This window comes from Homo sapiens, chromosome 5 (genome assembly GCF_000001405.40).
Source record: "Homo sapiens chromosome 5, GRCh38.p14 Primary Assembly".
In the NCBI taxonomy this organism is placed as follows: Eukaryota; Metazoa; Chordata; class Mammalia; order Primates; family Hominidae; genus Homo; species Homo sapiens.
This window is the reverse complement of record NC_000005.10, coordinates 71221989-71243186: the sequence shown is the minus strand read 5'-3', so window position 1 is coordinate 71243186 and position 21198 is coordinate 71221989. Positions and strand designations below refer to the sequence as shown.

General features: G+C 44.1%; 1 protein-coding gene and 2 pseudogenes across 2 annotated transcripts in view, besides 1 other annotated feature; 2 read left to right on the top strand and 1 right to left on the bottom strand.

Moving 5' to 3' along the window:
- The window catches only part of GUSBP17 (GUSB pseudogene 17), a 39070-nt pseudogene that overhangs the window by 16109 nt on the left and 1763 nt on the right, over positions 1–21198 (top strand). Inside the window, exons 2-3 of the transcript NR_033968.1 lie at positions 17033–17220; positions 20808–20892. The product of NR_033968.1 is annotated as a GUSB pseudogene 17 (transcript). The remainder of the gene's footprint in view (positions 1–17032; positions 17221–20807; positions 20893–21198) is intronic.
- On the top strand, positions 6697–14482 carry LOC124900993 (uncharacterized). The gene has a single exon (XM_047417972.1). The coding sequence runs from the start codon at positions 8782–8784 to the stop codon at positions 9364–9366; it is 585 nt and encodes a 194-aa protein (XP_047273928.1). The 5' UTR covers positions 6697–8781; the 3' UTR covers positions 9367–14482.
- Positions 9114–9803, bottom strand: LOC728575 (POM121 membrane glycoprotein (rat) pseudogene; annotated as a pseudogene).
- Positions 20082–20581: an enhancer, noted in NCBI's record as "H3K27ac hESC enhancer chr5:70518433-70518932 (GRCh37/hg19 assembly coordinates)". NCBI's record gives its function as "activates a minimal SCP1, AML or CMV promoter by ChIP-STARR-seq in primed H9 embryonic stem cells {active_cell/tissue: H9 hESC(primed)}" and the evidence as "EXISTENCE:reporter gene assay evidence [ECO:0000049][PMID:30033119]".

The following is a 21198-nucleotide window of genomic DNA, read 5'->3' as shown; positions in this document are numbered from 1 at the left end:
TTTGTTGGAGGTGTTGGGGAACCTTTCATGGAAGGTGTGTGGTAGACTGTTGGACAGGTTTCCTCAACTTTCGTTCCACTCTTTGAAGAGGTTAGAAAACTAAAACAAAACAAAACAAGCAATGCAGCTTCCCTTGAGCTAGCTTTATGAATGCAGCTTAGACCACTTACCGATTGTTTGCATATGAATCAGACTTAGAAAAATGGAAGAGATCAAAGCCTGTCTTGCTATTGTTGATTCTGGCAAGTGAAATCATGGGGACAATAGTTCAGAAGTAGTGGAAGTGGTAGGATTCAATATCCTTGTGCCTAATCCCCAGTTTCATGGGCATAAGAGGCTTAAAGTTTTAATAGCAGGAGCATCTTTTTGACCCAGGATTGCAGAAATGATTGCGTGCCTTTGAATTCAAGAACTCAAAACCTTCCTCCATGCCACAGCTACTTTAGTTATTTTAGCCCTTCCTATTGTATATGTATGAAATGCACTTTCTGCTTAAGATACCTATTGCGGTTTTTATTTCCTTATTAAAACCTTGGAAAAATATAGCACTTAAATTATGTTTTGTAGAAATTCACTAAGCAAATAAAGCTAAAGGGGGAGAGAGTTAACCTTCTCTGCCCCCTTTTTATCAGAAGTTAGTTGTAGAAGAAATACACAATTTTTGCGCAATTTTAGCACCATCTAAGTTCTGTAGGTCTGGAACACAGACTGGTTAAATGAGCATTTCAGGAGCACTATAGTTGCAAAGTTAAGCAGTCACCACAATTTTATGTGTCATACAAAGATTTTTAACTTTATGTTTAAGCAACGAGCCTAGAAGCAAATGGTATTTCCATCAAGAATCGTCTCATATAAAGTAGAGCGTTTTGGAAAATGAAGTTATTAATAGATAAAAACATGTTTATGCAGTTGGTTTCTAAGTATGACAAACCTATTTCTTGGTAAATTGCAAGTCCATTCCACCTGTGTTTGTAGGCTCATTTGCCTAAAAGTCTTGGGATTTTTTCTGATGATCTATTAAATTTTCTTTCTGATTATCTTTTCTAATGCTGTAATAGCATTTCTAACACTGTAATGAAAGAGAACAAAAGTACACGCTTGCTCATCATTTACTAATTCTAAAAATATATATTGAATACATCTATGTAGCAGGTACTGTGGTAGGTGTGGAAGATAGTTGAGACAGGTAACAAGCCCAACATTACGGAGCTTAGCATCACCACCTAGAAGAGTTTTTAAAAAACATAGATAAGTGAATAATGATTATAAAGACAAAGAGATTCTTGCCATATAATTACATATAAGCAAATTTAGGATGTGATGAAAGATTTTGATATTGGTCTTCTGATTTGGCTGTAGGATGAAGTGTTTATAAGTCATCCCAAGGAAGAAACAATTCAGATGAGAACTATTCAATGGATTTGCAATAACAATCCAAAGATGGAAGAAGACACTTCTAGGTAGACAAAATTGCAAGTATAGAGAATGTAAATTAAGAGAGAGCTTAGCTTTCAGATGAATTAAAAGATTGTGGTGATCAGAATGTAGAGATTGACGAGAGACAAATGAAATAAAACTAGAAGGACAAGTAGAGATTTGTGGGTCAAGTTTTTAAATTTTATTATAAATGCACTGATACTGTTCTGAACATTTTCTTACACATGGAAATTTAATGATTATGGCTATTGAAAAATGTAACTCTTCATTTATATTTTTCCGAGAATGAAATCGGTGGAATTGCTGGGGGGTGAAAATGTCCAATGCGAAACAGGAGGCTGATTTAAGAAGGGATACTGCAAAATTGGTCATGATGGCTCAAACTGCTGTTCATAATAGAGAGAAGAAAATGGATAGAGTTACATATGGATGAGAGTAAATTGACAAGGCTAAATGCTAAAACGTGGGTAGTGACAGAAAGTAGGTGTCAAAATAGACTTCCAGGAAAAGAAAAAATGGGTCTACAAAAGAGCCAAATGCTGATGTGGGTTACATGATCCTGAGCAGATGCAGATGTAATTGGTTAAGTAAAGTAAGTTCTTAAGATAGATTTGGCCTGGCGCTATACATTCTAGAGCCCCTGAATATAAGTGGGATATAAAACCATGGGAATGACTGTATTTGTCTAAGGAGAGAATTTGGCAGAAGAAAAGGAGACATAAGATGAAATGCAGAGGAAATTCAAATTTAATTGGCAGGTGTAGGAAGACAAGGAGATGACAAAAGGAACTGGAAATGAGTAATCAGAGACAGAAAAGTAAAAGTAAGAGTAGAATGTCATGGAAGGCAAATAATTGGAATGTTTCAAGAACAGGGAAATGGGCAATAAAGAGAAGAAAAAAATAGTGACCAGAGGGTATAGTAATGTGTAGAAATTCATCCTGTGTTAGGTTTGATTGCTTAGACGTTTTATATAAAAATCTTTCCCAGAGAGTAATAAAACAGAAGTGAGGTTAGAGAAAGAACATACGATTTAGCCAAAAGGTGGGAAAAGTTAGGAAATGAAGAATAAATATGTTTAAAGATAATGTTATGGCTACTCAATGTACAACCTCTTTTCTTTCATTATTTTTAATTGTCATATTTAAAAATAGTAATTACCACTTTTAAAAATTGTCTTATTATTTGTTACATAAGAAAATGCATTAATTCAAGCCACATAGTATCATTTATATTATGACTGTCGAAACATTACTAGAATTACTAGAACTATTAACCTAATGGCCTGAAAATTTCAACTCACTTCCCTAGCTGTCCTGATGATCATTAGTGAAAGGAAAGACTCCATTAAATAATGCTTACTTATAGAGAACTGGTTATATCTGTCTCATTTCCATACATATATCTGTATAAATTAATTTGATTAATAAAACAAACACAAGGCACAAACAACAAAACACAGTTTATAAATGTCATTGAAAAATGCATGCCTGTACAATTTGGGTATTTGTAATTGTAAATTGATATACTTCATTTTTTATCCAGGAGTTACTTAGATTGAAACTTTACCTAATGTATGATAAAATAATACGTGATTAAATTTAAAAACATGATGAATTTATTTAAAATTGGCTTCAATAATGTCAGAAAGTAATAAAATAAAATGATTCCTTCAAAGACTGCACCTGTTTATTGCCTGAGATTATCTCTCTTGGCCACAAATCAATATTACTTTCTTTCATTCATCAGTGATAAAGCTTTTCAATAATTCTAATTTTAAAGGATGATTACAGCAAGTATATAGTCATTGATTGCTTAAAGGTTGCAGCTAAAATGAACACAATGGTCATTTTATTTTTAATAAATGAGCCCTTTTGAAAAGTCAAGCATTTTTCCTCTCACAAAACTTTGTGTAATAAGATTATAGATTTGATCATGTATGAGTTTGCACTGTGTGTGTGTATATATGTGTGTGATTTCAGCGATAAAGTTCACTGTTCCACAGCTGGCAATTTCTTCTGCTTAATTGAAAATTCCGTTTTAAAATATTTCTTTAAAGTTCTAAAATGGGTTTAAATGGGTTCATGAGCTGTAATACTATTAAAAATATATATATCTACATATTTGTTGATTCTTCTCAGTTTAAGAAGTGGAGCTTCATACTCCTCCCCTTGAAGGCAGGCTAAGCTGAGTGACTCCCATCTAAGAAATAAAACACCGCAGGATTGGAATGTTACCTTGTGAGACAAGGTCACAAAGGCTAGGGTTTTAATTTTGAGTGAACTAATTTGCTCCTTACTGGTGTTTCTCTCTCTTTCTCTCCTTCAACTCTTTACGAGCCCAGCCACCATGCAAATAATTCCAAACTATCTTTTCTAGAAAGCTCACATGAAGAACCGAGGCATCCTATCTGATATCCAGCCAAATGATTAAACATTCTAGAAGCAGACTATGATGCACTGAATTTGTGAAATCCTAACCCCCAGTGTAATGATAGTAGGAGGTGGAGCTTTTGGTAGATGATAGTCTGTCTTCATGTTGGGGATTAGTGCCTTGATTATTATTTTTTGTTTTTATTTTTATTTTTATTTATTTATTTATTTATTTTTGAGACAGAGTTTTGCTCTGTTACCCAGGCTGGAGTGCAGTGGTGCCATGTCAGCTCACTGCAACGTCTGCCTCCTGGGTTCAAGTGTTTCTTCTGCCTCAGCCTCCTGAGTAGCTGAGTAGCTGAGACTACAGGTACGCACCACCACACCTGGCTAATTTTTGTATTTTTAGTAGAGACGGGGTTTCACCATACTGGCCAGGCTGGTCTGGAACTCCTGACCTCGTGATCTGCCTGCCTCAGCCTCCCAAAGTACTGGGATTACAGATGTGAGCCACCTTGCCCAGCCGGGGATTAGTGCCCTTATAAAAGAGACCCCAAAAAGCGTCCTTGCCCCTTCTGCCATGTGAGCTAGAGGACAGTAAACTATGAACTAAAAAATGGGCTCTGACCAGACACCAAATCTGCAAGCACCTTGATTTTGCACCATCCAGCCTCCGGTACCATTAGAAACGTTTCTGTTGTTTATAAGCTACCCTGTCTATGGTATTCTGTAGCGACAGTGCAAACAAACTAAGACACGGACCTTCCAACACAAGTTAAAGGCTTCAGGGGATGCTGCCTGGGTCAACAACATGACAGCAACCTTTACTCATGAGAGACTTTGAGTCAGAACCACCTACCCAAATCCATCATTTCCCTGACTTCTATGAATTGTGTCATACATATTTGTTATTTTAAGCCATTAAGTTTTAGGGTAATTTTTAAATGGAAAAATACATGATCATAGGTAAACTATAATTAATAGAAAAATCTAATGCCAATAATATTTACCATTGATTGACCGTCAAAACTCCATTAATTATTTGCTTTCCATTTATATTTATTTTTGGATTTCTTTTTTAAGAGAATGGCACCTGTGACAGCATACTGTTAATATTACCCTTTTATCGTACTTTACCATGCCATCTCTGAAGAATATTACAGACCATTTTGGAGCATGGTGAATAAGAAATTTTCACCTTAGGAGTTCACTTGAATAGTCATTTTTATATTTGTGACTGCAAATCACTCTTAGGGGCTGTACTTCCTTAGTACTGGTAGCATTATTATCCCATGGACTTTTATAGCTTTCATTAGGTTTTCTTTTGTTTTTGTTCTTTAAAGAACGTTTTACTTATCTTAGTATTTCATTTTTCATCTATATTATGAGGCAGTAAGAGTCTTCTGTTTTTCCAAAGTGGAGACTGCTTTATATTTATTTCGTATTGTCTACAGCTGTAGTGTTCAATACATTAGCCACTAGCCACATGTGGTTATTTAAATAAGATAAAATAAAAATTGGCCGGGCGTGGTGGGTCACGCCGGTAATCCCAGCACTTTGGGAGGCCGAGGCGGGCAGATCATTAGGTCAGGAGATCGAGACCATCCTTACTAAGACGGTGAACCCCCATCTCTATTAAAAATACAAAAAATTAGCCGGGCGTGGTGGCGGGCGCCTGCAGTCCCAGCTACTCAGGAGGCTGAGGCAGGAGAATGGCGTGAACCTGGGAGGCAGAGTTTGCAGTGAGCCGAGATGGCGCCACTGCACTCCAGCCTGGGGGACAGAGCGAGACTCCATCTCAAAAAAAAAAAGAAAATTAAAAATTAAGTTCTTTAGTTGCACTAGCCATATTTCAAATACTTGATGGATACATGTGGCTAGTGGCTAACATAAGGGATAGCACAGATATAAAACATTTGCTCGTCATATAAAGTTCTATTGGATAGTGCTGGTCTGTAGCTTATAAGGATGGTATCTTAGTCTGCTTCAGCTGCTAAAACAGAATACCATAAATTAGGTAGCTTAAACAGTAGATATTTTGACCAGGCGTGGTGGCTTATGCCTGTATTCCTAACACTTTGGGAGGCCGAGGCAGGTGGATAACTTGAGCTCAGGAGTTTGAGACTAGCCTGGGCAGCATGGCAAAACCTTGTCTCTACGAAAATTAGCTGGGCGTGGTGGTGCACGCCTGTAGTCTGAGCTACTTGGGAGGCTGAGGTGGGAGAATTGCTTGAACCTGGGAGGCGGAGGTTGCAGTGAGCCATGATCGCACCACTGTACTCCAGCCTGGATGACAGAATGAGACTCTGTCTCAAAAAAAACAAAAACAAACAAACAAAAAAAAACAGATATTTCTCACAGTTCTGCAGACTGGAAGTGCAAGATCAAAGTGTTGGCAAATTACGTTTCTTAAAGAGGGCCTGCTTCCTAGATTGGAAATGGCCATCTTCTCTCGGTATCCTCACATGGTAGGGAGAAAAGCAGCTCTAGTGTCTCTTCTTATAAAGGAAGTAATGCCACCATAGGGGCTCTATTCTCATGACCTCATCTAAACCTAATTCTCTCCTAAAGGCCACGCCTCCCAGTATCCTCACCTTGGGGGTTAGGGCTTTATCATATGAATTTTTTTTTTTTTTTTTTTTTTTTTTTTGAGACAGAGTCTCGCTCTGTCTGTCACCCAGGCTGGAGTGCAGTGGCACAATCTCGGCTCTCTACAAGCTCCGCCTCCTGGGTTCACGCCATTCTCCTGCGTCAGCCTCCTCAGTAGCTGGGACTAAGGCGCCCGCCACTGCGCCCGGCTAATTTTTTGTATTTTCAGTAGAGACGGGGTTTTACCATGTTAGCCAGGATGATCTCGATCTCCTGACCTCATGATCCACCCGCCTCGGCCTCCCAAAGTGCTGGGATTACAGGCATGAGCCACCGCGCCGGGCCTATCATATGAATTTTGAGGGAACACAAACATGCAGTCTGTAGCAGATGGTAATAGGCTGACATATTACACTTGTTGATGTAAATCTGATAGGTTTCTTTCTCTCCAAGGACAGCTTTTTAAATATTTAACAGTATCAATAATTTTTCAGGTTCTGTGAGAATTTTATAATTTATAATTTGCAGACTTAATGTATAATCTATTTTGTCCTAACAATTACAAATATATTTTTTATTTCAGATTGTATATATTCCTACCAGATGGAGATAATTACAGCTTTAAAAATTTTTATTTTTTCATTTTATTTCACACATTGACATTAAATTTTTATGGACACATAATAACTGTACATATATATGGGGTAGAATGTGATGTTTTAATACATGTACTCAATGTGTAATGATCAAATCAGGGTAATTTGCATAATGATTTTTCTGTAGGGAGAAAATTCAAAATCTACTCTTCTGGCTATTTTCAAATATATAATATGTTATTGTTAACTATACTCATCCTACTATGCAATAGGACACCAGAACTTATTCCTGGGTTCTACATCCGTTAAGGCAACCAAGGATTGGAAATATTGGAAAAAAAAATTGCGTCTGTACTGAACATGTACAGACTTTTTTCTTGTCCTTATTCCTTACACAATATAGTACAATAACTATTTGCATGACATTTACATCGGATATTATGAGTGATCTAGAGTTGATATGAAGTATATGGGAGGATGTGCAAAGGTGATGTGCAAATACTATGTCATTTTATATCAGGGACTTGAGTATCCTTTGTTACCCTCAGGAGATCCTGAAACCAGTCCCCCATGGATACTGAGGGCTGACTGTATAGTCCTATCCTCACGGAACTTTCATTCTAATGGGGGAAGACTGACTATAAACAAAATATATGTAATAGGTGGTGGTAAGTACCGTGGAGAAGTAACAAACGGGGCAAAGTGAGTTATACAGCTCCATTCTTAGAAACCTTGGAGTACTTTTCTTAGTTTATACTCGTGGTGGTTTCCTTTTGTCTCCTTTATTACATGGGACTCTGACATGTGCCCATAGCTAGGGTGACAGTAGGATCTACCCGATAGTAGGGTGGCAGTAGGATCTACCCAAAAAGCATCCTGCTGATACAGGACCAAAGCATCCTGTTGTTCTCGAGCCTATAAAAAGAGCTAATGGTCTTGCTTCTCTTAACTGTGGCCTCCTACACTGTGTTTTGGATGATTGGTGATGTCTTGGATATTCTGTTTCTTTGGAACTTTGAATATACAACACTTTACTAGGGAATTAGCAATGGAAGCAGAGCAAAGATGTACAGAGGAAACAATGCGTAACTCTGATGGAATTGAAGTCATGAGGCAGCAGAGAGCTTAAATTACAGCTTTAAAAATTTTTATTTTTTAGAGGGAATTTACTTGGGAGTAACAGCAGTAATAGTTAACGGAGCCAGAATGCTTGAGTCATATAATTGCAAAGCAGAGTTGGGAGCAACAGATGCTAAAGAGTAGTTGCTGTAGTTCCTCTGTGGGTCGTAGGAGCAGTTGTCATATTACTATATAGCTACTGCATGAAGAAGAGTTCTTAGTGAGGCCTGGGTGAACAGCTCTTCTTAGTATTCTGTGTGACCCCATTTGACCTTTTAACAAATCCCTAAGTAAATAAATAGCCCCTCAGGAAAACTAAGTTTTTCTCTGCTGTTTTTTTGCTTGAGAGAGCTATAACTGTAATAGACTTATATTTCTGAACATTTTAGTGCTTGCCAATATTTGGTAATATTTATGTTTCCTATATTTGTAATGAACATTCTTCTTCCGGTACATTTTTTGTTAAATTATTGTTTGATGGATAAAAGTTCACCTTTTATTGTATAAAATTGACTGAGATTAATTTATACACATTGACAATGGGTAAATAGAATTTTTCAGATTATTAAAAGCTGAAGGATGCCCACGTAAGCAAAAAAAAAAAAGAAAAAACCAACAAAAATAAACCCAAACCCCTCAAACAATTTCGAACACGAAACATTCTTCTGATGCCGGCATCCCTGCTTGCAGGTGTGAAGGGGGCAGGAATCAGCGAGGTGTCCTGGGCTGAGTCCCCGGAGTGGGAAGAGGTGGCAGGAAGGGGATCTGAGGAGGAGAACAGGGGTCCTGGTGGTCTGTGCTTCTTCCCAGACACGGGAGCTGTAGAGGAGACCTCTGCAGCAGATGCTAGGGGGGCCAGTAGGCCCAGGCAGTCTTGGGACTTGGGTCTGTCCTGCTGTGCATCCATAGTGGGTGCTTTAGAAACGGGAGGCCCACCCGAAGCCCCTGTTGCAAGTGAGGACAAAGTGTGGGAAGGCCGTGAGGGTCTGCAGTCCGGGATGGCCTTGTCCTCAACGTGCAGTGCACTGTTGATGCGCTGGAATGCCGTCTCTTTTTCCAGGTGCAGGTCTTCAGCCGTGACCCGGTACCCCAGCTCTAAGGGAGGTGGCAGCATCAAAGGCTCCCCTCGCCTGCGTGGCAGCAGGGGAATCTTGCGTCTACGGGGCCTAGAGTCCTGGGATCTGGGGGAGCCACCCGTTGGGGCGATTGTCTGCCCTGGTGCTGTATCTGCCCCCTTTTCACACCGTGTGTGACCCGAAGAGACAGCCTGAGGCCTGTCCTCACTCACTGTCTTTGAGTAACTGAGGGTCAGCTGGCAGCGGGATGAGGCTGGCCCCCTCCTCTGCTTTAGCCCCGGCAAGCCTCCCGTGGAGCTGTAGGAGCTGGAGATGGCATTTCGTTTGGTGTTCGAGCTCGTCCAGGATGTCTGGGATGTGTGGTTATATCTGATTTCTGAGCTCTGGGCGTGGAGGTCTGTCTGCAGAGGCCCGGGCCTGGGCACAAAGGGAGAGGGGCCTCCATTGTCCCGCAGGGGCCAAAATGCAGACCGTGCATCCCCGGTGACCTCGGGGACCGTTCTCTGATCATCAGGATTTTCTTGGACTCTGGGGTCCTTGTCCTGCTCAGGCATCCCTGCCCCGCTCTCCTTGAGGGCCCTCAACACTATCTTCCCTGGACACAAGTCTGGGGACAGCCGGGTGTTGTGGACCCCAAAGGGGTGACTACCTGCTCCTGGGCCCCACAGAGTCCTTGTGCTCAGTGTAGTGGCTGAGCTGGGGGATGCCCTGGAACTCGGAGCACACAGCACTGGCTTACTGTGGTACCTGTGCAGTGAAATTGAAGACAGAATCACCAGGATGGAACACAGGTCTTGCAGGATCACTTGAAACCTTCTTAGAGTTGTCTTGACACCAGTGATGTCGAGTGTCCGGGTGTTTGTAGGATGGCCTGCCACTCAGTCCAGGGGCAGGAGCAACGGGGAGATCCCACAAGCAAAGTGAACTGGGGGATGGGCTGAAGGGGCTCCAGGCAACTGAGCCCTACTCGCAGGTCCTCGGCCTTGGCCCAAACAGGAATGAGGGGCACAGAGTGCCCGGGTAACCGCTCCTGGGAGCAGTGGGGAACTGTCGGATACTTGAACTCTCAAGAGCTGGGCTCTGAGCGTCCTCGTCCAGCTGCCAACTTGGCCAAAGGCTAAGCCAGCAGATTGTTCTGTTGCCGGGCAACGCGACTTCTAAACCTGAGGGAGTGGGCATGTGAGCACATAATGGCACCAGTGACAGAGCGACCATAATGGATGAATAAGCGCAGCCAGGTACCCGCGCAAGGCACCTGCTGGCAATGGCAGGAGGCGGACGTGGGGGGTCGTGCAGTAGGTACTGGAGGGAGAGACGTGGGCACAAAGGTCGCGGGAGGAACAGGTGCCCACAATGGCTGCATATTTGCCCGTGGATCACTGAAGATTCCTGCTCTCCTGCTGAGGTGGAGACTGCAGTGAGCTGAGATCGCACCATTGCACTCCAGCCTGGGCAACGAGTGCAAAACTCAGTCTCCAGATAAAAAAAAGAAAAAGAAAAAAAAGAGGCCGGGTGTGGTGGCTTATGCCTATGATCCTAGCACTTTGGGAGGTCGGGGTGGACGGATCACGAGATCAGGAGTTGGAGGCCAGCCTGGCCAACATAGTGAAAGCCCGTCTCTAGTAAAAATACAAAATTTAGTCAGACATGGTGGGCAGGAGAGAGCATGTGCAGGGGAACATCCATTTATAAAACCATCAGACCTCATGAGACTTATTCACTACCATGAGAACAGCATGGGGGAAACTGCCTCCATGATTCAGTTATCTCCACCTGGCCCCACCCTTGACACATGGGAATTGTTACAATTCAAGATGAGATTTGGGTGCGGACAGAGCCAAACCATATAATTCTTCCCCGGCCCCTCCCAAATCTCATGTCCTCATATTTCAAAAGCAATCATGCCTTCCCCTAAGTCCCCCAAACTCTTATTTCAGCATTAACTCAAAATTCCATAGTCCAAAGTCTCATCTGAGACAAGGCAAGTCCCTTCCACCTATGAGCCTGTAAAATCAAAAGCAAGTTAGTTATTTTCTAGATACACAGGGATACAGGCATTGGGTAAATACACTCGTTTCAAATGGGAGAAATTGGCCAAAGCGAAAGAGCTACAGGCCCCATGCAAGTCCAAAACCCAGCAGGCAAATCTTAAAGCTCCAAAATGACCTCCTTTGACTCCATGTGTCACATCTAGGTGATGCAAGAAGTGGGTTCCCAGGGTCTTGGGCAGCCCCGCCCCTGTGGCTTTGCAGGGTACAGCCCCCCTTCTGGCTGCATTGAGTGTCTGCAGCTTTTCCAGGCACACAGTGCAAGCTGTCAGTGGATCTACCATTCTGGGGTCTGGAGGATGGTGGCCCTTTTCTCACAGCTCTGCTTGGCAGTACCCCAGTGGGGACTCTGTGTGGGAGCTCCAACCCCATATTTCCCTTTGACACTGCCCTAGCAGAGGTTATCCATGAGGGCCCCCCCTCCCCTCCCCCCCACAGCAAACTTTTGCCTGGATTTCCAGGCATTTTCATACATCTTCTGAAATGTAGGCGGAGGTTCATGAACGTTAATTCTTGACTTCGGTGCATCTGCAGGCTTAACACCACCTAGAACCTGAAAGGCTTGGAACTTGCACCCTCTGAAGCCATGGCCTGAGGTGTACCTTGGCCCCTTTTACCTATGGCAGGAGCAGCTGGGATGCAGGGCCTCAAGTTCCTAGGCTGCACACAGCAGGGGGTTCTGGACCCACAAAACCATTTTTCCTTCTAAGCCTCCTGGCCTGCGATGGGAGGGTCTGCTGTGAGGGTCTCTAACATGCCCTGGAGACATTTGCCCCATTGTCTTGGTGATTAACATTTGGCTCCTCATTACTTATGCAAATTTCTACAACCCAGTCTCCTGAGAAAATAGATTTTTCTTTTCTGTTGCATCATCAGGCTACAAATTTTCTGAAATTGTATGCTCTGCTTCTTCTCGAATGCTTTGCTGCTTAGAAATTTCTTGTGTCAGATACCTTAAATCATCTCTCTCAAGTTCAAAGTTCCACAGATCTGTAGGGAACTCTAGAAAAAAATTCTTATTTTCCCTCTTTCCCGCCTATCTGATGCCCGTTTCTAATACAGGTGCACAATGCCTGCAGTGTCTTTGCATAGTAAGAGTGACTTTACTCCATTTCCCAACAAATTCCTCATCTCCCTCTGAGACCACCTCCGCCTGGACCTTGTTGTCCATATCACTATTAACATTTTGGTCAAAGCCATTCAACAAGTCTCGAGGAAGTTCCAAACTTTCCCACATTTTCCTATCCTCTTCTGAGCCTTCCAAACTGTTCCAGCCTCTCCCTGTTACCCATTTCCAAAGTTGCTTCCACATTTTCGGGTATCTTTACAGCAGCACCCCACTCTACTGGTATCAACTTATTGTATTAGTCTGTTCTCACACTGCAAATAAAGACATACCTGAGACTGGGTAATTTATAAAGGAAAGAGGTTGAATTGACTCACAGTTCTGCATGGCTGGGGAGGCCTCACAATCATGGTGGAAGGCAAGGAGGTGCAAAAGCATGTCTCACATAGTGGCAGGCAGGAGAGAGCATGTGCAGGGGAGCTCCCATTTATAAAACCATCAGATCTCATGAGACTTAGTCACTACCGCGAGAACAGTATGGGGGGAACCATCCCCATGATTCAGTTATCTGCACCCGGCCCCACCCTTGACACGTGGGAATTATTACAATGCAAGGTGAGATTTGGGTGGGGACCCATCCAAACTATGTCAGTATGTTTTGACTTCTTGCTTGATTGCTAGGTTGCATAGAGGACAAACATGGAAATTAATGAAGTACCTTAATATCTGGCTTCAGATCTTAGACAGGATCAGAGGGCCAGCTCAAATTTGCAAGGAGGGGAGGTAGATCCCACCATTTTATGGGTGAATGGCAAAATCAAACAGAAATTATGTGGGATGGGAGATACTGATGCAGCCATCTTTGGAAACATTCTACTTAGCTAATTTTATGCTAGGCTTTAGGTCAAGAAGGAGAGAGAGAGCTGACATGCTGTGGTACACACTTATAGTCCCAGCGACTTGGAAAGCTGAGGCAGGAGGATTGCTTGATCCCAGGAGTTTGAGGTAGTGTGCGATGATCGTTCTTGTGAATAGCCACTAGCCACCGAACTCCAGCTTGGGCAACATTGAGACACCCTGTCTCTTAATTTAAAAAAAAAAAAAAAAAAAGGAGGAAAGAAAGTGGTCTCAGTTTTTAATGTAAATATTTTTAATGGGATACTGATATTTTAAGATTAATGTATATTGTATATCAGTTAACTGCAGGTCAATAATTATATAAAACTTAAGGTACGAAAAACATTTATTTTTGCTAACATATCTGTGAGTTGACTGTTGTTGGCTTGGTGAGGCTGCAAGCTGCAGATAGAGTCTAGGTATGTTTTCTGTGTGTTTGTTCCCCCTTGGATCAGTGGACTACCTGAGAATGTGTTTCTGTCACAGTGATAGAATCACAAGGAAACTCCAGTTCTGGAAGTACATTTTAAGCCATTGCTTCTCTCATGTCCACTAACATTCAGTCAGCCAAAGCACATACCTTGTCCATGGCTAACATTGATAGTATAGATAAATATACCTGATCTCTAGCAGGAGGAACTGCATTGTCTTGGGGAAAGGTTTTAGATATAGGGAGGGGTGATGAGTTGGGAACAATAATGTAGTCTGCCGCAAACATATTAAAGTGTAACTGGATATGGTTGCTGCAGAATTTTGAACCTTTGTTTTAATTGTGATTTTTACTCTTTCCCCCCTATCTAGTGCCCTTTTGTAATACAGTAATTATCATGATTTTTGTCTGAACTGAAATCTTCTGAGATTAGATTGTCTACGAAAATACAGTCGATCCTCCTTGTTTTCAGCTTTTGTATTTGTGAACTCACCTACTATTTTTTGTAACCCCCAAATCAGTACTCACAGCACTTTCATAGTCATGTGTTTGCGCAGAGTGTCAAAGAATTTGAGTTTGAACAGGATGATATTCTGCCTTCTTTTTCAGCTCTCATACAATAGTCAGGTATCCTTTTTGTGGTCTATTTAATGCCATGCTTTTCCTGTTTTTGTACTGTTTGTTGGTTGTTTTGCCATTTAAATTAACCCCCAAGCATAGTGCTGAAGTGCTGCTTAGCATTCACAAGTCCAAGAAGTCTGTGATGTGTCTTACAGAGAAAATACATGCATTAAATAAACTCCATTCAGGCGTGAGTGCTGTAGTGCCGTTGGCTGTGAGTTCAATGTTAATGAATGAACAATGTATATTATTTATTTATTCTTCATTTAATTAATTATTATTATTTTTTTTTTTGAGATAGAGTCTCACTCTGTTGCTCAGGCTGGAGTGCAGTGGTGCAGTCTTGGCTCACTGCAACCTCTGCCTCCTGGGTTCAAGCGATTCCCCTGCCTTCGCCTCCCAAGTAGCTAAGACTACAGGCATGCGCCACCATGCCTGGCTAATTTTTTTTTTTTTTTTTTTGTAGTTTTAGTAGAGACGGGGTTTCACCACGTTGGCCAGGCTGGTCTCGAACTCCAGACCTCAAATGATCTGCCCGCCTTGGCTTCCCAAAGTGCTGGGATTACAGGCGTTAGCCACTGTGCCTGGCCAACAATATATATTAAATAAGCACACATACAACAAAAGTAGGTGTTGGTAAGCTTACAAAAGTGTGACCAGTAGCTTGCTGAAACCTAACTTTTTATTTGTTCATGGAACTTTCTAGACCGTAACTACACTGAATAATGAGAATCTGCTGTAATCTTTTTAGGTGCTGTAGATGAGCCATTGGATTAAATTATTACAGTATGTTTCAGACTGCTGTATGTTGAACCCTAGTGAAATGCCTCTCAAACCTTCATAAGGATCACAATCTCATGTCCTTTTTTTTTGTTATTAAATGCCCAGTATGTGTTAGCGATTTAAACAAAATTCAAATATTTTTTTTTTTTTTTTGAGACAGAGTCTCGCTCTGTCACCTAAGCTGGAGAGTGCAGTGGTATGATCTCGGCTCACTACAACCTCTGCCTCCCGGGTTCAGGCGATTCTCCTGCCTCAGCATCCTGAGTAGCTGGGATTACAGGCACCCGCCACCACGCTGGGCTAATTTTTGTATTTTTAGTAGAGACGGGGTTTCGCCAGGTTGTCCAGGCTGGTCTGGAACTCCTGACCTCATGCGATCTGCCTGCCTTGGCCTCCTGAAGTGCTGGGATTATAGGCGTGAGCCACCATGCCCGGCGTTGACTTCTTAATAATAACCATACTGACTGGTGTGAGATGGTATGCCATTGTGGTTTTGATTTGCATTTCTCTAATGATCAGTGATATTGAGCTTTTTCTCATATGCTTGTTGGCCGCATGTGTGTCTTCTTTTGAAGTGTCTGTTTATGTCCTGTGCCCACTTTCTAATGAGATTTTTTTTTTTTCTTGTAAATTTGTTTAAGTTCCTTATCAGTGTTGGACATTAGATCTTTGTCACATGCATTGTTGCAAAAATTTTCTCCCATTCTGTAGGTTGTCTGTTCACTCTGTTGATAGTTTCTTTTGCTGTGCAGAAGCTTCAAGAAGAAAGGAATCCGATTGGTTCTGTGTCTGTCTCTTTTGGTATTCTCAGAATTATGTAGTCATTCATATAGAAAGATGATTAGGAAAATAGGACAAGAATAGCAGAAATCTACATAAAAATGTAGGAAATTAAAATTAGTTACCAGCATACAAAAAGCTTCTGTATGTTATAATTACATACTATAACTCACCCCTCCTTGGCAAATATTCTCTCTCTTTTGACTTCAAAATCATGGCTTATATGTACTTTCTCTATTTCCCAGATGCAAATATAATTAATTGACTTTATTTGTCTAGGAAATGTTACTCATATCTTAATTGTAGTCATTGGCTTGAGTGACGGGTTTTGGTAATTCAACTACTATTACTTGAAAGTAGTAGATTTCATAGGATACTGTTATAAAATCTTTTTAACCTCTTTTCTGATTTCAGGAGTAATTAGTAATTGTGGTTTACTGGAAAATTCAATGAATAGGGTGTTAAAGGAAGCAATTCATTAATAATATATGTAATCTATTGGGAGACTGAGGCGGGTGGATCACCTGAGTTCAGGAGTTCGAGACCAGCCTGGCCAACATGGCAAAACTCCGTCTCTACTGAAAATAGAAAAATTCGCCGGGCATGGTGGTGCATTCCTGTATTCCCAGGTACTCGGAAGGCTGAGGCAGGAGAATCACCTGAACTCCAGAGGTGGAGGTTGCAGCGAGTCAGGATCGCAGCACTACACTCCAGCCTGGGTGACAGTGAGACTCCATCTCAAAAAAAAAAAAAAAAAAAAAAAAAAAATTAAAAAATTAAATTAAAAGCGGGCTGGGCGCATTGGTTCAGGGCCGGGCACGGTGGCTCAAGCCTGTAATCCCAGCACTTTGGGAGGCCGAGGCAGGCGGATCACGAGGTCAGGAGATCAAGACCATCCTGGCTAATGTGGTGAAACCCCGTCTCTACTAACAATACAAAAATTAGCTGGATGTGGTGGCAGGTGCCTGTAATCCCAGCTATTCCAGAGGCTGAGGCAGGAGAATCACTTGAACCTGGGAGGCAGAGGTTTCAGTGAGTCCAGATCATGCCACTGCACTCCAGCCTGGGTGACAGAGCGAGATTCTATCTCAAAAAAAAAAAAAAAAAAAGCAACAGAAGCAAATGAGAGTGCCTGGGAGTGGTCATTGTGGGGCCTTCCCGTTTGTGTGACCCAGGTCATGTCCCTCCCTAAGCCCTGGTCTCTCTTGCCTCCTGCAGGGCTGGTGAATTACCAGATCTCCGTCAAGTGCAGTAACCAGTTCAAGTTGGAAGTGTGTCTTTTGAATGCAGAAAACAAAGTCGTGGACAACCAGGCTGGGACCCAGGGCCAGCTGAAGGTGCTGGGTGCCAACCTCTGGTGGCCGTACCTGATGCACGAACACCCCGCCTACCTGTACTCGTGGGAGGTAATGGTGGTTTGGGACTTGCGTAAGGGAGGTCTTTTGCCCCCATCTGGTAGCCCTGGCTTCAGCAGGAGCCCAGGACAGGTGAACGGGCAGGTGTGGTCCTCTGAGCTTTCTGATGTTTCCCACCCTTGGTGGGAGGCCCAGATTATTTATTTATTTATTTATTTGTTTGTTTGTTTGTTTGTTTGTTTTTGTGATGGTCTCACTCTGTCACCCAGGCTGGAATGCAATGGCCTGATCACAGCTCACTGCAGCTTTGAGCTGCAATCCTCCTACCTTGGCCTCCTGAGTAGCTGGGACTACAGGCACATGCCACCATGCCTGGCTAATTAAAAAAATTTTTTTTGTAGGCCGGGCATGGTGGCTCACACCTGTAATCCCAGCACTTCGGGAGGCTGACGCGGGCAGATCACTTTAGGCCAGGAGTTGGAGACCAGCCTGGCCAACATGGTGAAACCCCGTCTCTACTAAAATATGAAAATTTGCAGGGCATGATGGTGCACGTCTGTAATCCCAGCTACTCGGGAGGCTGAGGCAGGGGAATTGCTTGAACCCAGGAGGCAGGGGCCGCGGTGAATTGAGATCATGCCGCAGCACTCTATCCTGGGTGACAGAGTGAGACTGTCTCAAAAAAAAAAACTCCTTTTTATAGAGTTGGGGTCTTACTAGGTTGCCCAGGCTGGTCTTGAACTCCTGGACTCAGGTGATCCTCCTGCCTTAGCCTCCCAAGGTGTAGGGATTCCAGGCATGAGCCACCTCGTCTGGTCAAGGAGAAGGCCTGATTTTGAAGGGCAGGTCCCAGGGTCAGCCAGTGAAGGGCAGAGCCTCTGATTGCTGCTTCTCTGCAGGCCCAGTGGCGACTTCTGGGGTGCATGCACGAGGGGTCTTCCTGCTGTAGGGCAGGCCAGATGGGGCTCAGGCTGTCGGGGCGCTCACACCTGGCGCTTTGGCTGTCGTAGGTGCGGCTGACTGCACAGAAGTCACTGGGGCCTTTGACTTCTACACACTCCCTGTGGGGCTCCGCACTGTGCCCGTCACCGAGAGCCAGTGGGTGAGAGCCAGTTTCATTTGCGGTAGAGGCAGCAGAGGTTGTAGAAATGCTCCTTGAGGCAGATGCCACACCCCAATTTCATGGAGTGATTTGGGCTGAGCCGAGTCTGCAGCAGGCAGAAGGCTCTGAGATGTTGTCCTAGCCTGGGCAAAGGACAATTCAGAGCTCGGGGGATTAGGGGTGTGCTCAGCACGACTGGGTGGACAGGCCGTTTGTTGTGAATCGTACAGGCTTCCAGGAGCGGGTGCCTGAGGCTTCCAGACAGGCTTTGGGAGGTGGCCAGAGGAGATGCCTGTTTCCGGGGCAGGAAATGGAGGGAGGGCCCAGGCTGGAGAGGTTCAGCCAGGCTGTCACAAGGCTTTGAAGCTTCCCATCTGAGAGCCTGGCTATTGGAGAGTGTGGGTTTGGAACTTGAGGCTAGGAGGTTCTATTCTGTCCTGTGCCAGCCACAGCCTTCGGATGGGCAGAGCAATGATGGGGGGAAGATGTAAAAGAAAAGAACTGAGGAAAGAAGAAGAAAACCAGCTTCAACAACGGTCTAGGCCGGATGCGGTGGGTCACGCCTGTAATCCCAGCAGTTTGGGAGGCTGAGGTGGGTGGATCACCCGAGGTCAGGAGTTCGAGACCAGCCTGGTCAACAGGTAGTGAATCCTGTCTCTACTAAAAATACAAAAATTAGCTGGGCATGGTGGTGGACGTCTGTAATCCCAGCTACCAGGTAGGCTGAGGCAGGAGAATCGCCTCAGGTGAACCAGGAGGCAGAGATTGCAATGAGCTGAGATAATGCCACTGCATTCCAGCCTGGGCTACAGAATGAGACTCTGTATCTCAACAAAACAAAACAAAACAAAAACACAACAGTCTGTTCTGTGGAGGCCTTGGGCAGATGCTGGGAGCTCTGAGCACGGACTGGTCCCTCTGTTGGGAGCCTCTTCCCTTCATCCCTCCTGGTTAACTTGACTCAGCATAAAGGCCATTTCTTCTAAGAGCCTGTCCCTGACTCTCCAATCGGGGATGTGTCTGTTGTCTCATAGAGTGCCCAATTCCTGCCACCACTTGTCATTTCCATTCGCAACATTTCTTTCATTGTTTGTTTTTCAGAGTCAGGGTCTCACTCTGTTGCCCAGGCTGGAGTGCAGTGGTGCAATCATAGCTCGTTGCCATCTCGACCTCCTGGGCTTAAGCGATCCTCCCCACTCAGCCTCCCAAATAGCTGGGACCACAGACGTGCGCTGCCTTGCCAGGCTAAATTTTAATATTTTTTTTTCCCCACGAGTCAGAGTCTTGCTCTGTCTCCCAGGCTGGAGAGCAGTGTTGCGATCTTGGCTCACTGCATCCTCTACCTCCTGGGTACAAACAGTTCTCCTGCCTCACCCTCCCGAGTAGCTGGGATTACAGGCTCACGCCACCATGCCCAGCTAGTTTTCTTCTTTATTTTTTGTTGAGATGGGGTTTCACCATGTTGGCCAGGCTGGTCTCGAACTCTTGAGCTCGTGATCCACCTGCCTTGGCCTCCCAAAGTGCTCACAGGCTTGAGCCACCATGCCCGGCCCTAATTTTTAAATTTGTTGTAGAAACAAGGTCTTGCTATGTTGTCCAGGCTGGTCTCAAGCGCCTGGTCTCAAGTAAGCCTCCCAAAGTGCTGGGGTTCTAGGCTTGAGCCACCTCGCCTGGCACTTGCACCGTTTTTCTGTGCATGCATCTCCACTCCCACTGCCCAGGACCTGTGGACTTAGATTTGAGTCATTACTGAGCACCTAGCACCCAGCCTCATGCCTACCTCCCACCTCGCACTACCTGTTTGCTTGATGCATTAATAAATATTCCACCTGAATCCACAGCCCATTCACTCCTGTGTTCAAGAGCTATTTCAGGAAGTGAACCTCATTTCTGGCAGTGTTCAGTCCAGTGACCTCAGCTCTGTGTACCCGGCAGGGTGGCTACGCCTCTGGGGGAGTTGGATTCAGGGGTGGGGGAGAAAGAGTGTTGTTAGAGAGCTCGGTCTAGGACTAGAGGAACGTGCCCTTATGTAAAATACATCTCAAGTTAGGGAAGAAAGCAGCGGCTCTGTGCTTTGTTTTTTTTTTTTTTTTTTTCTTTTCTTTCTTTCTTTTTGTTTGTTTGTTTGTTTGTTTGTTTGTTTGTTTGTTTTGGGGCAGGGTCTTGCTCTGTGGCCCAGGCTGGAGTGCAGTAGCGTGATTTCGGCTCACTGCAACCTCCACCTCCCGGGTTCAAGCAATTCTTGTGCCTCAGCCTCCCGAGTAGCTGGAGTTACAGATGCGTGCCACTAAGCCTGGCTAATTTTTGTATATTTAGTAGAAATGGGGTTTTGCCATGTTGGCCAGGCTGTTCTTGAACCCCTGACCTCAGTGATCTGCCTGCCTCAGCCTCCTGAAGTGCTGGGATTACAGGCGTGAGCCATCGTGCCTGGCCACCAGTTGTGTTCTGGCAGGGGAAGATGGGACAGAGAGGATGGGAGGGTGTCTGAGCCTTTCCCGGACTGACGGAACCTGTGTCTTCTCTCTTTTGTGGACAGGATGGTGATTGCTCACACCAAAGCCTTGGACCCCTCCCAGCCTGTGACCTTTGGGACCAACTCCACCTACGCAGCAGACAAGGGGGTGAGCCTGGGGGTCCCCACCCCATTTCTCCCTGCCTTTGCCTGGGCTTGTCCTGAAGCCTGCTCATGGGAACAGCTGGAAAGAACCATGTGCTGCCAGTCTGAGCTTTTTATTTTGTTTTACTTAGAAAGATAGAGACAGGGTCTTGCCATGTTGCCCAGGCTGGTCTCGAACTCCTGGGCTCAAGTGATCCTCCTGCCTCGGCCTTCCAAAGGGCTGGGGTTACAGGCGTGTGCCACCGCACTCAGCCGCGGCCAGTCTGTTTTCAAAGATGGTCTTTGGGTTAATGACAATTCTCTCTCTGCT

Coding starts and splice junctions, on each gene's coding strand:
- LOC124900993 (XM_047417972.1), top strand. CDS start 8,782: ATGCCGGCATCCCTGCTTGCAGGTGTGAAGGGGGCAGGAATCAGCGAG.